Source organism: Homo sapiens, chromosome 6 (assembly GCF_000001405.40).
Source record: "Homo sapiens chromosome 6, GRCh38.p14 Primary Assembly".
Classification (NCBI taxonomy): domain Eukaryota; kingdom Metazoa; phylum Chordata; class Mammalia; order Primates; family Hominidae; genus Homo; species Homo sapiens.
The window spans coordinates 156981349-157007932 of NC_000006.12; the positions used below are offsets into that span (position 1 = coordinate 156981349).

At 40.9% G+C, this 26584-nt stretch overlaps 1 protein-coding gene across 35 annotated transcripts in view; it reads left to right on the forward strand.

Moving 5' to 3' along the window:
- Nucleotides 1-26584, forward strand: part of ARID1B (AT-rich interaction domain 1B) — a 434754-nt gene that overhangs the window by 205323 nt on the left and 202847 nt on the right. The window contains exon 5 of one of the 35 annotated variants that reach the window (NM_001438491.1): nt 2950-4296. The exons of the other annotated variants lie outside the window; for them this stretch is intronic. Coding sequence (NP_001425420.1) covers nt 2950-2982 — 33 coding nt within the window. The 3' untranslated portion in view covers nt 2983-4296. Of the gene's footprint in view, nt 1-2949; nt 4297-26584 lie in introns of those variants that run through there. 35 annotated transcript variants of the gene reach the window in all.

Sequence of the window (26584 nt, forward strand, 5' to 3'; positions counted from 1 at the left end):
CAGAAACAAAAAGGAGTTAAGGCACATATATCCTTTTCTCCTAGGATAAACTGTAACCCAGGTCATCTAAGTTTTCAAAAATAGACAAAATTTAGGAATGTATGATGAATTTATAGATGATGAAAATCAAATGAAATTGTCTTGTTACATGTATATTTCTTTAGAAATGTACATATACATGCAATCATTGCTATATATTATCTTTTAAATTCCTCAGTTTGGCATCATTTACTGGCTTCCTATTAGATGAGGATTGTAGCTTGCTGTACACTGTGTCTTTCCCACTCTTCAATGTCCTACCCATCTAATCCCATCAGGTTTTGGTTAAGACTGCATTACTGTTTATGTTATTATGTCTTCTTAACTCTTGTTCACTAAGCTAAATATTGCATTATACTATACTTATACTGTAATACTATAATAACTTAGTTTTGCTTGGAGTTCATTACCTCGTTTTTTTTTCACATGCTTTTCTTTGAACATCTGACTGGGCCTTCCTGTGCCCTCCAACAACTGGGCAGTGCAGTCTTCATGCGGTCATACCTGCCAGAGAAGTTTTTCAGCTCCAGTATTTTTTCTTAAGAGACATCCCTTCTGGATTTCCATAGTCTTCACCACAATTTGGAGTGGTTGTTAACGCAGGAGATAGATGTGTACAGCCATCTCCTGGGATGTCTCTTTTTTTTTTTTTGTGACTCTTCTGTTTGCCTCATGTGTGGATCTCCCGTTTCCTAGATCACTTACCATTTTGACTGCGCACATCTTTCAGTAGCTTCTTGAGAAAATGTGAATGGGAGGTAAATTTTTTAGACCTTGCATGTTTCAAAACACCTTTACTATATACCCTCATATTTAAATTGATTGACTACATATAGCAATCCTGCATGGAAATAATTTTCTCTAAGAATTAAAAGATAAAAGCTTCTGACTTCTGCTATTACTGCTTTCTGATGTTTCCTGTTGCTGTGGAGAAATTAGATGCCATTGTGACGTTGCCCTTTCTTTCTGTGTGATCCTGGAAACTGTTAGGGTTTTCGCCTGTGATGCCCGAAATAGTGCTGTGTGTCTCTATGGGTCTTTTTTTTTTTTTTTTGTACTTCATTGTGCTGGGCACTAAGTATGTACTGTTCTTCATTTTGGGGCAATTATCTTATATAGTTATTTGGTAATTTCTTTCTCTCCCTTAATCTGCTTTCTTATTCTGGTGCTCCTGGGTGTTGGATATACTGGATTTATTGATCTTTTCTTTCCTTCACTGATTTTTCTTTTCTGTTACTGTTTTCTGCGTGGGAGATAACCTTGACTCTATCTGCCAATCTGACTGTTAAATTATCTTGTTTTTCTCTTTATATTTTTTAATTCAAAGTGTTTTTCTTTATACATAGTTCCTTTTTTAATAGCATTCTTTATTTCCTGTATGCAATCACTTTTCCTCTCTCAAGCAGCATGTTATTATTTTTTACAATGTTTCTTCTATTCCTTGCATTATCTGTTTCTTCTGAATTACCCTTTTTACTTTTTACAATCTGTTTTAGGCAGGAGGCTTCCTCAAAAGTGTGAGAATCTTTGTTCCTATTTAAGAGTGAGGTGCATTAAAGGGCTGATTGGTAGTGGTGCGTGCCTGTAATCCCAGCTACTCTGGAGGCTGAGGCAGGAGAATGGCTTGAGCCTGGGAGGTGGAGGTTGCAGTGAGCCGAGATTGCACAACTGCACTCCAGTCCGGGCAACAGAGTGAGACCCTGTCTCAAAAAAAAAAAAAGAAAAAAAAGAAAGGCCTGGCACAGTGGCTCACGCCTGTAATCCCAGCATAGGCTGAGATGGGTGGATCATGAGGTCAGGAGTTCAAGACCAGCCTGACCAAGATGGTGACACCCCATCTCTACTAAAAACACAAAATTTAGCCAGGCTTGGTGGCAGGCGCCTGTAATCCCAGCTACTCGAGAGGCTGAGACAGGAGAATCGCTTGAACCCAGGCGGCAGAGGTTGCAGTGAGCCGAGATTGTACCACTACACTCCAGCCTGGGCGACAGAGCGAGGCTCAGTCTCAAAAAACAAACAAACAACAAAAACAGGCTGGTTGGAGGCCTCCTGTGTGAGCTGGGCATGTGGACAGGTAGGCATTTCTTTGGGGTTATCATGTGATCAGCCAGCTTTTTCACTGGGGACTTCCTCATGTTGATATGTGAAATATGCTCAGGAGTAGTTTATTTTCTCCAGAGAAGACACTGGTCGTGTTCTGCTTGGAGGACATGGTGGGTGAAGTCTAAGCCTGGTTGCTGACATTACGGGGCTGGGCTGAGGGGCTTAGGGTCTCAGTGTTCGGTACTTGCTGTTAATGTACTGTGTGGCCATTTCACAAACCACCTCATCCGTGTGAGCCCTACTCGTTTCTGGTTTGGTGTCTACAATGGAAGAGGGATGATGGTGGTCAGATGCTCTGGCTTTACAAACTCTTGATTTAAATCTGGTTTTGGTCTGGTGGTCTCCAGTTCTTGAGCTGTTCAGGTTATACCAGCTGTGTTAATTTGTTCCTTCTAGTTACCCGATTTCCTGCACCCCTCAGCCAGTTAGGATTGACCTTGCTTTTCTCATTCCTGTGTTTGCTTTCCATCTACATATATTGTTAGCACTATTGTTTCCGTTTACAAATCACTTCAAAACTTCATTTTATTAAAACAATCATTTTTTTTACCTCTCCCCATTTCTTGGGATCAGGAAGTTGGGAAGGGTGGGGTTCTGGCTGGGTTTCTTGCACCTGGTTGTGGACAGGCAGTGGCTGGAGTTCGGAGGGGATTCGTTGAGCGTCTCCAGGAGGTATCAGGACAAACCTTGGAGATGGGAAACAGCACAGCAAGGCATGCTCCCACAGCAGTCCGGTGCAGCTCCAGAATGAGGGAGCCATGGCAGGGGCATTAGTTTAATAATCATTGGAACTAATTCTCTTTCCAGCTTCTCCTTGGACCTCTTCACATTTCTACCTAGATGTCTCATCAGAATGGAATTTTCAGATCCTTCCTTCTGCCCCACAGTGCTCTTTGCCATGCTCTTTTAAGGTACCAGAATACTGGGAAAAAAAGGGCGTTCTGGATAAGTGAAAATGTCCTAGGACCTGCTTGGTGTTTACTGACTTACTAGGAAGTTGATAGTGAAATGTGAAGGGTTCATGACAGTGACTTGGTGTTACTAGAAAGCAAAAGTAAAGTGAGGAACACAGGAATCTACAAGTGCTGGGTGTGGGGTAGTGGGTGGGGTGCAGTTGTGGGTGAAACTTCAGTGTGAAATTTGGAATCAGAACATTTAGCTGAGTCTAAATGGAGTTTCTTACTTTTCTTTCCTTTCATTTCCTTTTCCTTTTTTAGAGAGGGTCTCGCTCTTTTGCCCAGGCTGGAATGCAGTGGTGCAGTCATGGCACACTGCAGCCTCAACCTCCCTGGGCTCAGGTGATCCTCCCACCTCAGCCTCATGAGTAGTTGGGACTACGGGCATGCATGCACCACCACATCTGGCTAATTGTTTTGTATTTTTTGTTGAGACGGGGTTTTGCCCTGTTGCCCAAGCTGGTCTTGAACTCCTGGACTCAAGCAATCCACTCATGTCAGCCTCCCAAAGTATTGGGATTACAAGTGAGAGCCACTGCACCTGGCCAGTACTTTATTTTCATACAGAGACTGAGAGTAAGACTTCATTTCCAAATAAAAGTAGGTTATTAAATATTGCTTTATATATTTTTAAAGTTCTTACAGAAAGAAAGCTTCCATATACTCTAGACCATTTTGAGATTCTTTCAGGCTGTGACTCTTAAGGTCAGCTACATTTTTATTGACAGCAATCCTGGAAGAAAAGTAAAGAGAAGTGAGAATATAATGTTGTGATTCTGTTAAAATCACTCAAAATGCTTGAAATTGATAATACTTTTTGGCATGTTTCTTTCTAAAATCAATGTGATAATATCCGCTGCATTGATAAACATAGTTAGCAAGCATTTTTGTACTTAGCGTTTGTGTATAAAATGTAAAGGAAGGTTTTTTAATTCAGAGAAGGTGCTCATGTTTGAAAGACAATATATGGATCTGGAAGAAGTAAAAGTAAATCTTTAAACTCTAATTGCAAGGCTGTCTGCTCATATTTAATTGACACACGTTTAAACATTGGTTGTAATGGATTGTTTGCCATTTAACTGACATTAACGACCTCAGTTAACTCATGTTTTTATATTACATTGGCTGTTTATTTTTTGTTAATTTCCCTTTAGTGTTCAGCTTCCCATACATTAAAAGTTTTGCTTTTTATAAACAACTACTGTGTCTTGAATCTCTTTTTATTATTAAAACTTTCACACATGTATTGGGTTTAATTGCATATACTTTTTGTAGCCTGAAAATGTGAACCATATGATAATAAAACTTAAACGTCTGCACATTGCTACAAAACACAGCTCTGTAAGGGAACACATATCTAAATATCATCATCCTGTCCAAGTCACTCTCAGAGATGTGACTGTGCCCTGCCTGGCTCATCTCGGATCAGGACAACGCCTGCTTCTGGGTTTGTTGGATGGGAATTAAAAGCAAAGCTGAAGCAGAACCTTTACTGCTTTATTTCGAGATGTAATGTCCTGTTGCACCGAGTAATTTTCAGTAAAAGTATTCCTGCCTCCTGCGATTTTTCTGTCAGTTTTTGTTAATTTCTGGCAAAATTCCTTTACTTGGAAGGCTTTTTGTCTTTGATCTGTGAGGATTCACAGAGGAAGGGAAAGCGATCTAGGGAGGATCTCTAGCTCTTCCTTTTGGAGTTACCTAATTTTCATTTTTATCACTTACCTGTCCTCAGGTGTCAAGGCCTCAGGACTGGTTTTGTTAGTCACTCTGACCTTCCTCTCAGCCCCTTCACTTGTTAAGTAGATAACACCTGTATGGGAAGGTATTGGATTTTTAATTATTAGAGGGACACATCCTCTTTCTTGAACAGGCTTGTAGCTAATTGTTATTAAATACAAAATTTCATTTCAGTTTTAATTTCTGTTTAATAAAAAGCTTTTTAAGTCTCCAAAGTTTGTCTAATTATTTTTAAGCTTATTCAAAGCCTGAACCCCCTGCACGGTAAAATCATCAGCATAAGAGACAGCAGGGGCTGGTAGTTAGGCCCTTGCGTTTGAATCTGGCTCTGTCACTCGGTCAGCTTGTTTCATTTCTTGTGCTTCAGTTTCCTTACCTACAAAATGGGACAACAGAACTTATGTCTTCGGTGAAGATTAGCACGTGATGTGCTTAGAGCATTGCCCGGCTCATAGTAATTACTCAGTAAATGCTTGCTGTTACTGTTGCTATGACTATTATTATTAAAGAGCTTTCGATACTTCTACACAGACTACAGTATAGTTATCTGGACCTAATTTTTTTTTAAGGCCAATGCTACCATTTTAAAAGGAAACTCAGCTGTCAGCATAATGGTAGTAAAGTGGTAGCAAAATGATAGTAAAGTGATTAAACAGGATTAAAACACAAACTGGCTGTTCATTATATGTACTTTGTATTAATAAAACAACATAGGCCGGGTGCGGTGGCTCATGCCTGTAATCCCAACACTTTGGGAGGCTGAGGTTGGCAGATCGCTTAAGCCCAGGAGTTTGAGACCAGCCTGGGCAACATAGCAAGACCCTCATCTCTACAAAAATATAAAAAATTAGTCGGGTGTGATGGTGTGCCTGTCGTCGCAGCTGCTCAGGAGGCTGAGGTGGGAGGATGGCTCTAGCCCGGGAGGTCCAGGCTGCAGTGAGCTGTGATACTGCCACTTCACTGTAGCCTCGGTGACAGAGAGAGAGAGAGAGAGAGAGAGAGAGAGAGAGAGAGACCCTGTCTCAAAAAATTAAAAAACTAAAAGCAAAATATAAGATGGGGTCACCTGTTTTTCTTCCATTCTAGAGAGATAATTACAGCTAATATTTCTGTTTCCTTTTTCTAGTCAGTTTTCTAGATACCAGTGCTAGTTTTTTTTTTTTTTGAGACGGAGTGTTGCTCTGTCTCCCAGGCTGGAGTGCAGTGGCACGATGTCCGCTCACTGCAAGCTCTGCCTCCCGGGTTCGCGCCATTCTCCTGGCTCAGCCTCCCAAGTAGCTGAGACTACAGGCGCCCGCTACTGCACCCGGCTAATTTTTTATATTTTCAGTAGAGATGGGGTTTCACCGTGTTAGCCAGGATGGTTTCGATCTCCTGACCTTGTGATCCGCCCGCCTCGGCCTCCCAAAGTGCTGGGATTACAGGCGTGAGCCACCACGCCCGGCCCAGTGCTAGTTTTGTGCCTGTATTTTCTGCTTTTTTCATTTGACATCACTTGAATTTCCTTAGCTTGTGGAATCTTTTGTTTTGTTTTGCAAACTTAATATATTCTCATACTTGATAGTTATAGTAATACATAAGCTTTAGTCATTGACAGGCCCCATTAGCCCTTGTTTATGTTATTTACCCTTCAGAGTATCTTGCTCGAATCTAGAATCGTGGCCTGTTGAGACTTTATTCCTTTGAGTTGAATAGTACCTTTCTGTACTTTCTGTAATATGTTTTTGAATATACATATGAAATACAATGCAAGTAATTAATCTATAGCAGATAATAAGTGTGTGCATGATGGTGATGTTGGGGATAATGGAATATCGTGGAAATGGTCAATATCTTAGTCTTTCTTTCATTCTAGATGCTTACTGTTGGTACATATAGGCAAAACACTCTAAAAAAATCTGATCTATTGGAATTCAGATTTGTCACAACTAGTTTTAGGGTGAAGGTAGAGGGATTATTGTTCAAGGATTTAGCTGGAGACGCACTTAGTAGTTACAAACCGGGAGCTTGAAGGGTGAGAAGGGAGTTTAAGGGGATAGGATAAAAAACAGACCAGTAATATGCTAAATAATGTAAACTTTTGGGCCAGTGACTTAATTTACATATGCCCAATTTGTGTGGTGTTTCAAAGGAACACTTCTGTTTTAAGTGAGGTGACTCACATTTTGTACTGTCTTCATTCATGCATGTGTGGTGCCTGCAGCCTGCCACTGTTTTTTGTGCTTATCTCAGGGGATTCGCTGCAAACCATGGTGAGGGGGAGGGGAGGAACGGCTAGTGCATCCATGGAGTCCTTCTCTGGCTTCTCCTGGCCACTCCTTCCATAGTTTAAATGGGGGCAGCACATCCTCTTGCTTCTACTAGGAAGTGAAAAGTCTTACTAGCAAGGAGTTAAGGACTGCCAGAGGAGCTTTCTTACCTGCCAGCTCTGGACATCTCATTTCCTGTTTGTCTGAATGCATGTGCAAGCTTAGGAACTTGCCCACTGCAGCATCCAACACAGCTGGTTTGCCTGTGTTTCAGGAGAGTGGGGAAGTGCGCTTCAATCACTTCCGACACACTTCAGCATGTTGAGCCATCTGATAGGGAGGGACATTGGTGCGTTTTACTGCCTTCTTCCTATGCACCTGGAGCTTTTGTTATCTCAACTGACCAGTTCCTTACCTGTAACCTGGATTAGGGAATGGCAGCCAGTATTCATGACAGTTGCATATGTGCGTTCTTACAATCAGAGAAATGTGCCATAAAAATAATTTCTCATTTTTTGCCTCTGTGTATTCTGCTCCTGTAGCTTGGACCCATGGCCACATTAAGGCCATGTTGTCACAGGGATCTACCATACTCTATTGACTTTTCTTGTGTTCTGCCATCCTGCTCTTACAACACAGAGAGCTGAGAGTGTTGTGATCTCCTACTCCCATTCTTTGAGCTCCCTTTTGGATTTAACTTCTTGGCCATGTTTATCATATTTTATTCGTATTACTCCTGATTATTTCACTCCCTGGTTGCTTTGCGAAACCCCTCTAAGTCAGGTCAGCCACACTATGTCTCTACTCCCACGTCTTCCATGAAACACTGCTGGGACAAAATTTCACAACTTTGGCTGTTGGCATTTTTGCTACAAAGGATCGTCTTATGTCCTGGTGGTCAAGGTGAAGTAGGATTATATCTTTTTGCGGTTATGAAGATTCCAAGCAAAAGAGAAGATAATGATGCATTTAACAGTCACAAGATAATACATGTTAATCTTCAAAAAGTTTTGGGAATTCGTCATAGCTGTACTATACAAAGCCAGTGTATAAATTGAAATTCTAAAGTTTTACTCAAAGGTAGATAGTCATTAAGTAAGGACCCTGGGGGTGATACATATTTGGCCTTTAATCCCAATTGGGCCGCCCCATAGTTGTGTGACTGTGGCCAAATTACTTAACATCTCTAAGCCTCACTTTCCCCATCTGTAAAATGGAGATGATAATCTACCCCACAGGCTAGTCTGAGGAGTCAGTGAGATTCCCCTTGACTTCAGTATTGAAATTAGCAATGTTTGCTGATTTATTAAGTGTACATCCAATAAATGCCTTGTCAAGAGTGCTGATGGCGGGGATAGTTGAGGTGATGGTGGGAGTGGCAGTAGCAGTGGTAGATGTATGTTACCTCCCGGGTGATGGGAGTCTTCTGTATTGCTGCCATGTGGGAGAATGATAGGAAATAGTGATCTCATATTTAATCAGAGGCATCTAAGCTTATGGTTGATACCTTTGATATAATTCTTGCCAATTAATTTGATTTTCAACCTTTACAATGAATAATGTAAAATTTCTTATACAGAAAGTATTTAATTCAGTGAATACTTAGGAGCACATGTTCTCTTACCGGACTTACTATTTGGGGAGCAAAAATATGAATAGGAAGTGGTGTTTGTCCTTAGAGAACTTGAGATCCAGTGAGTTGTAGAGTCAATGGACTGGTTACAGAACAGATTTCCTTAACTTTTTTTTTTTTTTTTTTTAAAGAGAGTCTCATTCTGTGGCCCAAGCTGGAGTGCAGTGGCAGCATCATAGCTCACTGCAGCCTGGAACTCCCGGCTCAAGCGATTCTCCCACCTCAGCCTCTTGAGTAGGTAGGGCTGCAGGCACACACCACCACACCGGGCTAATTTTTCAAAACAGCTTTTGTAGGCCGGGCGCTGTGGCTCACACCTGTAATCCCAGCACTTTGGGAGGCCAAGGCAGGCGGATCACAAGGTCAGGAGATCAAGACCCTCCTGGCCATCATGGTGAAACCCCGTCTCTACTAAAAATACAAAAATTAGCTGGGCGTGGTATCATGCGCCTGTAATCCCAGCCACTCGGGAGGCTGAGGCAGGAGAATCACTTGACCGAGGGAGTTGGTGGTTGCAGTGAGCCGAGATCGCACCACTGCACTCCAGCCTGGCGACAGAGCAAGACTCCGTCTCAAAACGAACAAACAAACAAACAGAACATCTTTTGTAGAGACAGGGTCTCATCTTGTTTTCCAAGCTGGTCTCAAACTCCTGGCCTCAAGCCATCCTCCTTCCTCAGCCTCCCAAAGTGCTAAGATTACAGGTGTGAGCAGCTGTGTCAGGCCTTTTCCTGACATAGGAACCTTTTAACCCTTGGTTTTATTTTATATTTTTGCTCTATTGCATTTACTAACAAATTAAGTATCATAAATGGCTTTTCATGGTGAATCATATTTCACAGCCAAGATGATTAATAATTATAACTATAATAGTAACAACAACTAACATTGATTGAGGGTTTACTTATGAGCTAGGCACTTTTGCAAACATTTTACATGTATTAACTCATTTAATTTTCATGACATTCCTATGAGGGCTGTTATTAGTCTTGTTAGTTCTACTTCCTCATGAGGCTCTGAGGAGCAGTAACTTGACTTGCCGACTGTTGCACAGTTGGTACACATGGCAGAGACAGTTTCAACCCTGGCAGTCTGGGCCTGCAGATGCTAGCCTGTCTCTTGTGATACTCATTGGGAAATGGGGATGCATTTCTTTCTTTTTTTGTTTCTGTTTTTGTTTTTTGAGACGGAGTTTCTCTCTGTCGCCCAAGCTGGAGTGCAATGGTGCGATCTCGGCTCACTGCAACCTCTGCCTCCTGGGTTCAAGTGATTCTCTTGCCTCAGCCTCCCAAGTAGCTGGGATTACAGGTGCCCATCACCATGTCTGGCTAATTTTTTGTATTTTTAGTAGAGATGGGGTTTCACCATGTTGGCCAGGCTGGTCTTGAACTCTTGACCTCAGGTGATCCACCCACCTCAGCCTCCCAAAGTGCTGGGATTACAGGCATGAGCCACTGCGCCTGGCACATTTCTGTATTAAGCTAGGATTGTCTATGTTATTGTACCAAATCAGAATTAGAGAAATGTTGAGGGGAAAAGTTCATACTTATATCTTTCTTACACTCTTCTTGAACTTCAGTAAATTAAAGGATATTTTCCTGAATACATTATTAAGGTACTGATTTTTAATTTATTTTAATTAGGAATAATTGGAACTTAGTATGTTTTCATACACATAGTAATAAATTATTCTAAACGTCCTGAGTTTTTTCCCAAACATTTCAGTATTTCAAAAGTTCTATTGAAATGAGATGCATTATCTATAAACTGCCCTTTATTTTGTACCTTAATTTGCTTCTCCAGGACATGTTTGTTCAAGTGTATATTTAAAAATTTTTAATCTTGAAAATTAGCCAAAGATATTTAACAAATTTGTAATCCTAATTTAATAACAAAGAAAACATTTTTGAAAAGTCAATAAAGTTTACAAAGATCTCTTGTCATGAACTCTTGTTATGTCTAAGTAACCTTAGACATAGGCATTATTTTACAGTTTACTTTTCTTTCCAGTAGAAATATTTTATGGAGAGTGTGTAATGTGTATGCTATGTATGTCATGTATAATAACTGTACAGGGTAGTATGTCAATGCAGATTGCACTAAGCTAACATTTTAGCTCTTGGGTTTCTGTATTTCCTGCTGTGAAATATTAACTAGTTGTAGATACAGACATGAGTGTGCTTGTGTGTGTGTTGTAGTCCTTCATCTGGGAAAGCTATTGGGTATCATTGCAGTTCGGTTGCTCCCTTCTAAGTTTCTGAGGTTCATGGGGAAAAAAATAACATGTAACTGTTATATGTTAATATCTCGTCATCTCCCAAGTAAAATATAAAAAGCCAATTACTTTTGAGTTATTATCACAGCCTCTGAATTTAGAAGATGGTTAATTTGTTTTTAGTGGTTCCACAGCTTTGTTCTAAGATATGTGTTTTCAGTGTTCGTGAGCATCTTCGTGAGTTTTCTGTTTGTTTTCCTTATCAGAAAAGGCACCCCGGGAATGGAGGGGACAGACGGCTAGCACCAGGGCCGTAGGTTTTGGAGCGGGAGGTATTCAGAACGGCCTCCCATCTGTGGGGCCTGGGCACTGATAAAACTTGCAGTGGCTGTCTGGCTTCTCCAGAGCAGCCGTGGCCTGTTTCTGCGCAGAGGTCACTGGGCCTTGGAAGACTGCCCTGGCTATGGAGCGGTCCCAGTGGGTTGCAGGCACTGTGCGGTGGGCAACATAAGGGTCAGCACCAGGCACAGCATTGGAGGGAGCCGCCGGCTGCAGACTGGATTGCCTAGCACCTCTCTGTCACTCTGCAGTTAGCCAAGTTTATGTTTTGGATTTAAAGAAAGAAATCAACTGTGATTTAAAAAAATAGTATTCAGTGAATTAAAAGACCTTGTAAATCAGTCTAAAATTCAGATGCCTTCTGTAGGGAGCTGAATGTTTATCAATGAGCCATTTTAGGCCATAATTGTATATATATGCTTTCGCTTTTTTTTTTTTTTTTAAGATGGAGTCTCTCTCTGTGGCCAGGCTGGAGTACAGTGGCATGATCTCGGCTCACTGCAAACTCCGCCTCCCGGTTCAAGCGATTCTCCTGCCTCAGCCTCCTGAGTAGCTGGGATTACAGGCAACCGCCATCATGCCTGGCTAATTTTTGTATTTTTAGTAGAGATGGGGTTTCACCATGTTGGCCAGGTTGGTCTTGAACTCCTGACCTCAGGTGATCCACCAGCCTCAGCCTCCCAAAGTGCTGGGTGGCGTGAGCCACTGCGCCTGGCACATTTTAAATATATCTAATGAGACCTACATTCTTATTGTAACGAAGGATAGGGGAAATTTCTTTTTGGCCTCAAGTTTTTAGCAAAAGTATTCTGCTAGCTCAGTATGGTGATTCTGACCACAAGCAGTTATTTCCTATTTTGCAAGATGTGTGTGTAACTTTATATATTAGTTTACAGATAGACGTGATGCTTGGATAACAAAATATATTAGACCTTTAAGGCTATGATATTATACTATTTTAGATTCTCTGAAATACTGATTTTTCAGACTGGCCATTGAAGTTATATACCTAAGGATAGTGCCAAACAACAATCCCAACTTTCAAAATTTTTTGAATGTAGTAGGAATAATATTTATTCCATTGACAAGCATGGGTAGAACCATTGCTCTTTAGTAAAAGCCAGAAACAAAACAGTCTTGTTTCTTTTTGAAGTAGCCTGTTGACTTGTTGCTGTTAACTCTTAAATTTCTGTTGATAAATATGGATAATATGTCCAAAAATTTATAAAAATCAAATGGAAATTTTAAGTTTATCTCTTCGTAAAATATATGTCTATCAAACATTTTGCTGAATAGGTAATATAAATATCAAGTGGCACTTATTCAAATTATAAAATAAATACTTATTGAATGTGTCAGGCTCACAGATGCCATTGTACCATAACAGAAAGCATTATGTAGGAACGTGAAGTTTGTCAGGTATGTAGAAATTGAGATGCACATTTTTAAACTTTTGGTCATTTTTTTTGTTCATGATTTCTGTGCTTGCTTTTTCCATAAGTACATTTTAAGAATACTTGATGCAGTGAGGGTAGAAATAGTGACTGATTTAAAAAGTTTTTTGCCCTTAATGAAGGGTTAGAATGGGTCACCTATTTACAGTCCCTGTAGATCCTTGAACTCTGTTTACCGTGTATGTGGGTCTGCGTTCTCTTTCAATAACAAGCCATTTTCAGTCAGATCTGACTGTATACATAGGTGGCAGACAGTCTTAATGCAGAAAGCGCTAATGGGTTTTAAAGCTTCCAGCATACTCTCTCAGCAGTTTAGATTCCAGAGAACGCCCTCTGATTGTTTCCGGATCTCCATAGAAGAATTTACGAGGCTCCGTTATTGATTTACTTCCTCCAAAAGGAGGAAATGATACTTAAAACAAATATACAAAAAAAAATACCTTTATAAAATGCTTTTCCTAGGTAAAAACCAGTCCTCATTCCTGGATAATCAGAGGCAGCTTAAAAAAAAAAAGCAAAACTATTTTGAAAACATATGTTAAGTCTGTAGGGTGAACGCACGCCCATTATGGGCAACCTGATCTGGGCCATCCCCTGTGCTCTGCCTCCAATTCTCAACGGTTCCCTCCAGTGTCAGTGACATTTAGTAACCTGTCCAAGACCAGACAGAAGACTCAGTCCAGCCCAGGGCTGCCTAGGATTGTCCTCCACCAGTGGACAGACCAGTGGTCTCTGTGTCCCGGTGTGCCCTCACAGGAGTGCCTGGAGAGGTTCTCTTACCCTGAACACGGTGTCACTAGCTCTCCCAGCCATGCACCAGTGCCTGCCAGAACATGACGGTTGGGTTATTCTTACTGTCCTCCCCTGTCAGCTGGGGCTGGGTGGACTGAGGGCAGAAGAGTCAGGGCCACTTACCAAGACTTAGGTCTGAGCAGACTGACTTTGCAGGGGCCCCTCTTGCACCCCTGGAATGTGAGGATCTTCAGCAGAGGAGGACCTGCACCTTCCTAGGCACGTCTGTCTCTGAAGAGGGCCCTACTGGTACCAGAGGAAGTGGGGCTGTGCCCTCTTCTCCCGGGCTTAGGACTCCAGGTGTACCTGAAGACAGACGGTAGGAAGCCTGAGGTGACGTACGAATGAGCCCCTGAAAAGTGAATTTCATTTTCTTTTCTTATTCACTGCTTCTCACTGAAAAGAACTCTGTTTACCTGAAAGGTACAAAAGGAGCCAAAGAGAAGGTAGCAATTTTAAATAGCTGACCTGAACCTTATTTTTACAAAGGACCTGTACAGTGTCCTGACTTAGGAACCTGCTGATTAGAATTCTTTATGGACAGAGATTGTCTTGAATAAGTAGGAGAGTTTTGGTAACTCTTCTGAGCAGGCTGCCTTCCAAGGATTAAGTATTTGTTGCTGAAAACCATGTGGTCATATAGTGTATTCTAAGTATCTGTTTTGCTCCAAGCCCAGGGTACTGTACTAGGAACTGAACAATTTGGGACTAGATCCTCAAGCCTGCTACTTAGTAACCTTTTTGAGCTTCTAGACTTCACTGACATGGACAAGTGCAAGTGAGAAGATGTGCTTAGTGACAGAGTGCCCAAATATTCAATTATCGTCAGTGCTGTACCAGCTGCTATTAAGCTATCACCAGATGAGATGGAGAATCTGCAGCCTAGTAACGTGTTTCATGTCATTGATGTGGAAGTAGAATTACCAGATAAAATACAGGACGCACGGTTAAATTTGAATTTCAGATAAACAAGGAATAATTTCCTAGCTTAAATGCGTCTTATATATTACATGGAACATATTACATAGGACATGTTACTCAATCTGGCAACCCTATAGAAAAAGAATTCACTTGAGTGATGAGAAGAGTCCTCTCTCCCTGTGATATAAGCTGCGGAAAAACCTCAGGACCCCACACAAAATTGGAATGCTTATATTTTAGCTCCCCTAAATCTTTAAACTCTTCAACAGTAAGGGCTAAATCCTTTGACTCTGTAGCAAATTCAAGCACTGTGTGAATAATAGAAATATCTTCTATCCTCCAAAATCTTAATTTTTCTTAATTTTTTTCAAAAGCTTGGGTGGTAAGGAGTAATCTAAGCCACAGGCTGGATGCTGCTATTAGGTTCTCTCTGCAGGTGTTCGCAAAAACTGTAAGGAATGGCTTCAGAGCTGAGCTCTAACTCAAGTAAGGATTTCTTTTCCTGCAGCGAGGTCATGTCTTGATGAGACTCTAGGGCAACCAGATGGGACGGAGTATTCTGAAATGTCCCCAGTCCCTCTGAAAGGGAATCTTGTAAAGGCATCCTCAACAACCTACCACCTTCATGGTGTGCCTGGTTAGAGATAGGATGATAACATGGAAAGAAATTGTACTGAACCAGAAGGTGAGTCATGGCTCTGTCTCTGGGCCTCCATTTGTTTCTCTTCAAAATGGGATAATATATACCCTCAATGCATTGTTATGGAAACCAAAAATAAGTAATAGATCAAAATATGTAAAAGTATTTTGTAGATTGTGGAGTACTTTAGAGACAGAGGGTATTAAGCCTACTAATACTACTCTTGTGCTGCATTTTGGGTTTTTTTGGAAGTTTTATCAAGTTTTATAAAAAAAGAATGTGAATTTTAACCCATATTAATACCTCATATTAAATTAGATTTTTGCTGTATAACAATTAATAAATGTTGGGAATTGGAATTGCAGTTTTACAATTGCGTTAATGTCCAAATTAAAATCAGCAGCCTGACTGATTGAATGTTTTGTTTTTTAAATCACACATTTGCCTGAATTGTTCATGTTAGTAGATAGCCATGATAATCTTTTAATCTACGACTTAAAAGTTTCTGAGAAAATATGATATTTGATGTTGAGAAGGGAAAAAAACGTGTGTTATTCATAGAGAGTATGGTATGCAGTCTGGTGAATTTGTCCTAGTAAACCTGATTTTTAGCATTACTTAAGACATAAATTCTCAATCTCCAAGGAATTATTTTTAAACATATTATTTTCACAAGTACCCGTGAATGGATGTGGTCTATGGGAAACACCAAAATAGATATAAAATTGATGGTCTTAAAATTTGTGATTTACCATGCATGTTACATTAGTTATTTGTATAAACATGATGTTGTTCCTCTTTGACAGAATTTAGAGGTTGGATACTTGATGCATCTGAAGAAACCATAGAAGTTTGCGATTATATTACAGAATTCCTCTCATGTCTGTGCAAAAACCCTGCACTCTGTGTTACAGCTCTTCAGTCTATTTCCTATTCTGTAAATAAATGTCTAGGTATTGTAATTATACATGTGGCATCCTTTTTACTTTAGTATTGAAATAACAATTCTTTATATCGTCACTGTCATGAATTCTTACCTTTGAATAGCACTTTATAGCTTTCGGGATGTTTTCTCTTATTATCTTATTAAATATTTACAATTACCAAGAGGTAAACATGGTAGGCATGTTTATCCTCTCTATGTAAGAAGTAACAGATGTAGAGAAATTCTTATTTACAAAGTTCAGGTGGGAAGTAGTAGAGCTGAGATTTAAACACTTGCATTTTAACTTGTTTTTTTTTTTTTTTGCTGTTATTTCCACCATACCATACTGTTTTCCACAAGAACCATCATTTCTAGAACTTTATATTTAAGTTTACATTAGCATAAAGGAATGCATTTGAATATCTAAAGATTCTCCTATTAAGAATTGGCGTGAAACTCTGTATACATATATTATTTCTGAAAGATTTACTGGAAGACTGCAATTACACAAAATAAACTATAAGCATAAAGACATCATTATCCCAGGGAATTGTTTATCTGCAAATGTGAATACTAGAAAAGTGTTTATAAATGTTAGAAGAATGGGTGCAAATAAATTCTTATGGGACAATAATATGGGGTCTATTTTACCTCTTTCCGTTTAACGCTTAAGAGGAACCTCGTCATCGTGACTACTCCAGAGCATGGATTATGGGTGCTGTGCGGGCTTGCAGTCCTTGCATCTGTGCTTCTTGGTATGGATAGAAAGCAACTCTGAAGATGTTCGTGATATGACAGTAGAGTGTGCCTAGATCTAGCTTTTCTGTTTTGCTCCCCTCTCCCAATCTTGATCTCTCTCTCTTTTTTTTTTTTTTTTGGTGGGCGGGGGTCAGAGTTTCCACTCTGTCACCCAGGCTGGAGTGCAGTGGCGCGATCTTGGCTCACTGCAACCTCTGCCTCCCAGGTTCAAGCGATTCTCCTGCCTCAGCCTCCTGAGTAGCTGGGACTACAGGTGTGTGCCACCATGCCCGGCTAATTTTTTCTTGTATTTTTAGTAGAGACAGGGTTTCACCGTGTTAGCCAGGATGGTCTGGATCTCCTGACCTCGTGATCCACCCGCCTCGGCCTCCCAAAGTGCTGGGATTACAGGCGTGAGCCACCGCGCCTGGCTCTTGTTCTCTTTTGAAAGAAGTTGAGAAAAGTTCCAAGAGGTGGAAGGGGCACGAGGAATGACTGCTGCGAGCTGACAGTGGCTGTGCAGCCGACAGCAGCCTCACACCAGTGGACTCATCCTGAGGCTGGAGATTGGCTTTCTCCAGCTCAGTTGTTGAGCGGGGAGCTGCGATGGAAGCAACACCACACATGAAAGTTACATTTCTTTATTCATGTCTAAATTGGTCTGTTTAACAATAGTAGGGAGAAAATCAACAACTGCATTTTCTCTGGGCCTCTATTCTGTGATAAAATGGTAACTCCAAGCTGTATTTATTCTGCCTGGAAAAGAGGAAGAAAGCGTTCTTTTCCTCCAATTATGGTGGAACGCGGCCCTTGAGAAAATACCGTGGAGCCTTTTGAGCAGGCTTCACTGGTGTGAGAACACATTCCAAGTTAAATCAGCAGAGCTACTGGAAGGAATGCAAGGTGGGAGAGGGGGAAGTTTATATGTTTCTCTCTTCAGTGGTGACTTTAGCTTCATGTGACATGTCCTCAAACCTTCTGGGCCAGTGACTTTCAACCCTGGTGGCTGTGGCGGTGCTGCAGTCACACTAGGTTGGAGACTGGATGCGCCATGAGTCCTGTACTTACGTATGAGGCACAGCTGCTTTCCAGTGTAGGAATTTACTGTAATGGTCAGTACATTAGGATTTCATTTAAAACCTTCATATTAACTAGTTATCCTTGGGATATGCTGGTTAACAGCATGTAATCAGTCAGATAAAGCCCAACTGTGCATACAAGTTATGTGACATTGGAAAGGATTCTTGATTTCTGTGAATTATAATTTCCTCATGTATAAAACGAAGGTCACAATCCCTCTGTAACAATGGCTCTTCAAAAGGTTAGAGGAGCCAGGGTATGACCCTGGCACTTAAAGGCCCAATAAAGCAGTCACTATTATTGTTGCAGTCAGCAAATACAAAACAAGAGCTGCTGTCACATGGGGGTTCAAGACATTGTCACTCTCTTTTCCATTGTTGCCATTGGTTTCCCACACTGATGCTAGTGATGAAGAGCCTTAAGAAACACAGGCAGCAGGGTGGTCTGTTAGGAAGCGTGTGTGTTTGTGTTGTCTGGGTACGTGAGCATGCAGGTGCTGCTGAGCCCCGTCAGCAGCTCACCTTTTCAACAGATATTTAGGACCTGCCTGCCTCTCAGTGCCAGCACACTTTGAGGCACTAGGAACACAGCAATGGAAAAACAATTCCACTGTTCGGCTTCCCAAAGTTCTGGGATTACAGGCGTGAGCCACCATGCCCGGCCTAAACACCCATTTCTAATAAAGCATGCCCAGGTTAGAAATCACAGTTGCTGCTCTCAGGGAGCTTGTGTTCTAGAAGAGAAAGACAACCAATAAGTTAAAAAGATAATGTCAGAAAGACATGCTTGCTGTGCATAGAGTGAAATATGGTGACATGGAGTGAGTGAGTGAGTGGGAGGCTGATTTCTTTTGGGCAGTCAGAGAAGACAACCTGGTGGAGGACATAAATCTGCAACTAAAATCTGAAGGAGAAGGAGCCACCTAGGCAAGGGTTTGACAAGAGAGCATTCTGGGTAGAAGGATGGCTGAGGAGAAGGCCCTGCTACAGGAACAGGTGGGACGAAACTGGAGATGCGTCCTGGGAGGCTGGAGAGGGAGGGAACCAGGGCCAGAGTCTCCCTCCTTGAATGAATTCTAAAGCTGACTGGAGTCTGCAGGCTTCTTTGCCATGTTTCTGAATAGCACTCCAGAAAAATCACTGTGAACCAGAGGGAAGTAGGCTGCTTTGCCTCTGGAAACTTATCTTAGTTATCAAATGGAGATCTATTTTATATCTATTTCTTTGTGATGGGGATGTGAGAACAGTAAAGTAAATGTAAAAACATCCTGTGTACTATGAACCAAAAACAAATTGAAAAGAAATATTGTAAAATACTGTGTCATATTTTGTAGTCTGAAAACAATTATAGGACTAATCCTAAAATCCTAATTTCACATGTAATTATTTACTTGGTATTTAGCATGCTATATGGATGTGGAACAATGTTCTTACATTTTCCCACCAGCATTTTGGGGGTAGAGTGAGTGATTCCTCCAATAATTATGATGGATTTACACCCTTTCTAAACACCCATTTCTAATTATTCTTTTTTTTTTTTTTTTTTTTGAGACAGAGTCTTACTTTGTTGCCCAGGCTGCAGGGGTGCGTTCTCGGCTCAGTACAACCTCTGTCTCCCAGGTTCAAACGATTCTCGTGCCTCAGCCTCCTAAGTAGCTGGGATTACAGGTGTGCGCCACCACGGCCAGCTACAATTTTATATTTTCAGTGGAGATGGGGTTTCACTACGTTGGCCAGGCTGGTCTCAAACTCCTGACCTCAAGTGATCCATCTGCCTCGGCCTCCAAAAGGGCTGGTATTACAGCCATGAGCCACTGTGCCCGGCCTAAACACTCATTTCTAATAAAGCATGCCCAGGTTAGAAATGACTGTTGTGGCAACATTTCATGGCATCTTAAATGCTCTAGAATACATTTTATAGCTATCAATTCCTTCAGAATTTGAAACACATTTAATCTCTAAAGCTGTTCTCTTAAGGCATGCAGCAAGGAAACGGGGTAGGTGAAGATGCCTGGCTGAGCACATGCTGTATTCTAGGTTCATTTTCGAAGATATCTTTGCCACAGCACCCAGATTGAAATGGTCTCATTTTGAAGGTGAAGGAACTGTTGCTCCGAGAGGGATCGCTCACGAGTAGTGGAGCCGAGATCGAATCTGTGTTAATTCGGAGCTCAGTCTCTGTCACGTCCCCCTCAGTCTACCTGGATAAATATGAGAAGTGCAGGCTTTCATCTGAACCGTCCTCTGACCAGCTGCAGATGACGTGAGGTTCTGGTTCACTTTACACATTTCGTCCGACGTCTCCTTTCTAGGGGAGAGGAGCCTGAGACCAACCATCGAAGCAGCTACTTCATGGTCTCCCTGTTTTAAGTTATTGAAGGTCCCAAAAGAATGCAGCAGACATTTGTTATTGAGCATTTAAAATGCCAGGGGACCTTGTTTGATATATTACGCAGTACTACATCTGAGCTATATGTGGGTTTTTATTTATATTGACAAAAACAGAAAACAAAATGAGAAAGTGGAAGTTTTTGTATTCCTGGGCTTATAAGCATTTAAGATGCAGTTGTCCCCCTCCTTGCCCTTGGCCGATTGACTCATTACTTCAGCTTTTAGATTCTGAGAAGGTGGAGCCTATGGCAGGTGGCAAAGGGGAGATGGTGGTCTCCTGGAATCCCCCAGGAATTCGGCCGGAGGAGAGATGGACTGAGTTTTGGCGATAGGTCGCACACCTTACCAACAGCAGGCGGCGAGGGCTCCCCACGCTGCTCGTTTCCAGAGGTGCCTCGTATTATTGAGAAGGCGTGCAGTGAATGAAAATGTGTCCACACAGCTCCTGCTCTGCCTGTGACATTGGGTTGCTGTATATTAGCTGGGATAGTATATTTCAAATTGCTTTCTCAATTGCAAAGTATGGTAGAAATAAATATTCGCTTTAATTTAGTAACTAGAACTTAGAAAAGTTCCTCCTGTTTCCTGATTGCCAAGTCGGGATGAGAAATAGATTTCATAATTATGATACAACTTGATATCTTGAGATAAATGTTTAACTTTGAAAGTTAAACATGGTATTTTTTAAACTTTATCATTTTGTGTTCATTTTGCACATCTCTATACCTCCAATTTTGAAAAGAATTTCTCCCAAAGTTATCTTTATGTTATCTTTACTCTCTGCTTACTGTTTTAGTTTGGAGGCTTCTCCTTTAACCTGTGGATTCTAAAAGCCTTCTAAATCTGTGAGAGGACTAAAAATTTCCATATGTTAAATTTATTCTTATACAAAGTTGACACTTGTAATACACAAACCTGCTTTGCATTTATACAAAGGAAACAAACTTAACTGTGTAGCCACTGCATTGCATTTTCCAAGTTCCTGAGGCCTCCTCATTCTATTTTATGATCTATTTTATGGTTGTGATACATTTGTCCTTGGGAAATGCCTTAAAAACATTAAAATAATTTCTTAGAATTGCTAAATAGTTGCTGGAGTATTTTAATTTAGTCTGCCTGAAACTGTTAATTTGATCTTTCATTCAGCCCATTTTTGTTGAGCATCTGCTGTGTTATAAGTGAAGCTGCAGTAATGAACAGGAAACAGACCTGCCCTCATGTTACTTTATAATTTAGTGGGAGAGAACATCTTGCAGGTAAAATGCAAATTGATAGACAGGATTATGTAGAAAACAGTGTTAATCTTTTCTTAAGTAAGAAGACATCTCAGTGACATCTTAGACTTGAAGGACAGTAGCCAGGCATGAGAATGAGAAGAGGACTGTAGGCAGAGGAGACAGCTGAGACCAGAAACATGCCAGAGCATGGTGTATTCCAGGAATTCCAAGGAAAGCAGCATCCATTAGGGAAAGAAGTGTAGGAAGTGGGAGGCCGGGAGGATGGTGGGGAGTGTAAAGGCTGGGGCCCCATCACAGAGGGGCTTTGAAGCTCCTGTGAGGAGGTTAGCCTTGATCCTAAGAGCAAGAGGAAGCCATTGGAAAGAGATTTTATTTTCGCCTGGGACATGATCTGAGTACACTTGAATTTCAGAAAGATCTTCCTGACTGCCATGTGGAGAATGGATTGGAAGGGACCAGACTGGAGCTAAGGATGCTCTTGGAGGATTTTGTGTATGGACAACACAGCCATGGAGGTTGGGTACTGCAGAGGGTGAGGGAGCATCATGTGAATGCCTGGCCCCTACCTCGTACTGTACATCCCGGACAGCCTTACATGGGGGCTCTGCCAGAGGAGAAATTATAGACATTTGTGATTGAGATTATTGTGGTCTAGATTTAGGCAGTGACAGTAGAGGTGAAGAAAAGCAAGAAGATCCACAGGCCTTGTAATGTATGGCTGTAAAGGCAAGGGAGTCAGGGAGATACCTGGTTTTCTGACTGGGCTTATCTGCCTGGAGAAGGGTACATGGGAAAAGGAGCAAGGTCATTTTTTGTTTCATCCTCAAAAGGGAATGGACTACTTACAGTGAAGTGTTAATGGCAGCTAAATTAAGTAACATCGAGTCTTCTTATTTATTTATTTTTTAAGAGTTAGGGTCTTGCTCTGTCACCCAGGCTGGGGTGCAGTAGCACCATCATAGCTTGCTGTAGCCTCGACCTCCTTGGCTGAAACAGTCCTCCTGCCTCAGCCTCCCAAGTAGCTATGACTATAGGTGCGCATGACTGTTCCTGGATAATTAAAAAAAAATTTTTTTTTTTCACTTTGGCCGAGAGTTCAAGGCGAGGCAAGAGGATCGCTTGAGCCCAGGAGTTCAAGACCAGCCTGGACAACATGGTGAAATCCCATCTCTACAAAAAGGACAAAAATTAGCCCGGTGTGGTGGTGCATGCCAGCAGAGTAAAACCCTGTGTCAAAACAAACAAACACAAATAAAAACAAAAAACAATACCACCACAAATTTTTTTTGTAGAGATGAGGTCTGGCTATATTGCCCAGGCTGGTCTCGAACTCCTGACCTCAAGCAATCCTCTCGTTCTCCCGAAACCCTAGGATTACAGGTGTGAGCCTTTTATCTCTGCCTTTTATCTGTTTAAAATCCAAGAGCTACTGATTAACATTAGGGCACATGCTACGATGTTTTCCATGGAAATGTCTTAAATTTGGGAAATTAAATATAGGCCAAAAAAGAACTTGAACTCTAATACTGCCTTGTAAATTATATGTTTGCTAAGTGTTTAGCAAGTGAAATCATTTTGCAGCCCTGAAATGTTAAATGAAGCCATTTTGTTCTTCCTGTGAACACATGTTAGAGATCTAAGTGATAAAATACCATAATTTTGCTTGATTTTCCGAAGTGTAATTTCTTGAGAAAAAGGCTCGAAGAACACTGGGGCCATGGAAGGAGATTAAATATTAATTTCATTTCACAGATTTTGAAATTTTAAAACATACATTGTAATTCAGAAGGTAAAGTTGGTCTCTTTTATAAGAACTCCCCCCAAAATGATAGTTACCTTAAATTTAGAAATGTGTTCGGAACAGCCGTGCACTTGGACTTGGCTGTGTTCACCACTTGCGCTTCCCTTGAGGCTGGAGTGATTTTATTGCCGGTGTTAGGGGAGGGTGTTGGGAAAGTACACACTTTGTACCATATTGCTTATAATTATGTCACTTTTCAGCAGTGAATGTTAGAAAGAATTTAATTGGTTCTCTAGTTCTTGTGTGTGTACTTTTCACATGTAGTGGCATTTCTTTTTTCTTTTTCTTCTTCTTTTTTCTTTTTTTTTTTTTTTTTTTTTTTTTTTTTTTTTTGAGATGAGCCTTGCTCTGTTGTCCAGGCTGGAGTACAGTGGCGTAATCCCGACTCACTGCAACCTCCACCTCCCGGATTCAAGAGATTCTCCTGTCTCAGACTCCTGAGTAGCTAGGACTACAGGTGTGCACCACCACGCCTGGCTAATTTTTTGTATTTTTAGTAGAGACGGGGTTTCACCATGTTGGCCAGGCTGTTTTTTGTTGTTGTTGTTGTTGTTGTTGTTGTTGTTGTTTGGAGAGATGGAGTCTCGCTCTGTCGCCCAGGCTGGAATTCAGTGGTGGGATCTTGGCTCATTGCTACCTTCACCTCCTGGGTTCAAGCAGTTGTCCTGCCTCAGCCTCCTGAGTAGCTGGGATTACAGGCATGGGCCACCATGCCTAGCTAATGTTTTTGTATTTTTAGTAGAGATGGGGTTTCACCATATTGGCCGGGCTGTTCTCGAACTCCTGACCTTGTGATCTGCCTGCCTCAGCCTCCCAAAGTGCTGGGATTACAGGCGTGAGTCACCGTGCCAGGCCCTTATGTAGTGGCATTTCTAACACAAAAGATTTATTTTTACCTAAAATGACAATACTTACTGGGTTGCCAAGGAGAATAGTTAAGTTGTAGCTAAAGATGAAAAGCCCAGAGTAGGCAAGTAAGAAAACCGAATTGGTAAAACTTCTTTCTCCACAGGACTTCTGTTAGTGATTTGTTCATGAACTTTGAAAGGAGCAATGGCAGTTCCTCCCCGATCTCCGTTCTACTCACCACATCCCAATACCGTAAAGTTTATGAGCAGAGGAATTTAACATAATGCATTTTAAGTTCATAAACTAACAAAATAACTTCAGATCTTTTAAAAATGCTTTTTAGAAGTTTGGCCTGCATTTCTACCTTTTTCACCATATTCTGTCTCCTCAGCTACCTCCTAACTCCCTGAACTTAAAACTCTCTGGGGTCGCTTTCCATTAATAGCTTTTGACTTTGTTTCTTATGCTTTGGAAATGTATGCCATAGCGACATTGCTATTTTAAGAGGCTTTTATATATTCACGTTTTCTCCCTCTTTTCTCTCTGTCTTCCCTTGCCCTTCCTTCTATTCCCCTTCTTATTCTTGCCACCCCACAACACCCCCCATTGAGAGATCCAGGCAAGATAGACTCCTTTGCCCTTGGTATTCCGTGGAAGTTCAGTGCTATCTGATCTCACTGTTAGGGAAACAGACAGCACATATTCTTACCTCAGGGAACTAAGATCTAGAGACCATCTGGAACCATCTCTGAGCTCTGTCATTGATGGGCAGTTTCACACAATCTGTTGATTGATAATGTTATATCAGAGCTTCAGTGTATTGCAAGCCATTTTATGGAAATACTGGTGATAAGAGTAACCTGATGTGACATGGTGCATGTGGAATACTGTGTTAGGTCCTCCCCCACCTCCCTCCTGGGGCAACAAAATGGCCATTCTGAAGAGAGAAATTATATTCAAAGAATTGTAGCATAAGGTTGAAATTATATTGTTTTATAAAATATCACTACAGTATAGAGATGTCATTAGAGAGCAGTACCAGTTAAGCAGCCATCATTTGCATATGCCTAGGAGAACGTTTTTAATAACTAACCTAGTTACCAGTAAACACACAGTTTTAATTTATTTCAGTTATTAACCATTAGGAAACTTCTTTAGGTTTTTTATCATTGGAATGATGTCAACAAGAAATGTGTAATCAGAAGGAAGAGATACTTTACTTTGCTGCAGATACTCAGAGCAGTATGTAGTGTTTTCATAGACCAGAGAGGAGCCTGCACTGTTATCATTTTTTGTGAAGAAGCTTTCAGCACACAGCTGCAATTTCTAAATTGAATATTTTTATTTCAGAATGGAAAAAGGAGACTTTATTCACAAGAAAGTTTACTTACCAGAAATTTTTTGTCTTTTTTCACGTGGAAGTAATCCTAAATTACTCTTCCTTAAATGGAAATGTTATCAGTTTGCTAAAGAAAAAATGCTGTGTATTCTAGGCACATGTGTGTACACACACACACACAGACACGCAAAGTTTATCAGGCACCATGATATGGTCCCATCCTTTAACTTTGTAATTCTGCTTTTGAGAATCTTTCCTAAGGAAATAATCCAAAATGTTGGGGACATGGGAGAACTGTGTGTATAAAGGCATTCCTTGGTATCTTATTTAGGCAACTGAAAAATTGGAAACACCCCTGAAGGACTCATGGAAGGGACGTAATTTAATGAATTCCCGCACATGCCTTCAAATGGAAATTCTTTGAGACTAAAGATAATTGTTACTAAAACTTTCAGGAAGGTAGAAAAATGCTTTTTAATGTTAAATTTAAATTCAGGAATTTCCCCTAGTTTTCTAAGTTTTCTGTATTTGTACTTATATTACTTTCATAATGAAGAGAAAGAATCCCAAAATGTTATTCTTTTCTGCTCTTTAATTGTTTAATAAGTATTGAAAATTGCTGCCAGACTAGGGTCAACGATTTTAGGCACTCTAAAGCTCTTCTTTAAATACATTAATGTTTTCTACATATTTTGGCAATGTTTTGTTAATTTAAAGCGAACCATTTAGCTTCTGTTACAGATTTGCACGTGCACACATAGACACAGCGGGAAGGATGAGCACTAGAATTTGAAATATTAAAATAGAAAGTAGAGAATTATAAGAAATGAGTCAGAGAGTTGTTGTAAGAAGATAATTGCAAAGAAAAATTTGTGGAACATCAGTGTTTTTGAAGTTCCATAGGAATTTTTGCAGCAATAGTTAAGGAAGCCCTAAGTTGTTTTTTTTTTTTTTTTTCCCCAAGACAGAGTCTCACTCTGTCACCCAGGCTGGGGTCTCCTGCCTCAGCCTCCCAAGTAACTGGGACTACAGGCATCCTCCACCATGCCCGGCTAATTTTGTGTATTTTTTAGTAGAGACGGGGTTTCACCGTGTTAGCCAGGATGGTCTCGATCTCCTGACCTCGGGATCCGCCCACCTCGGCCT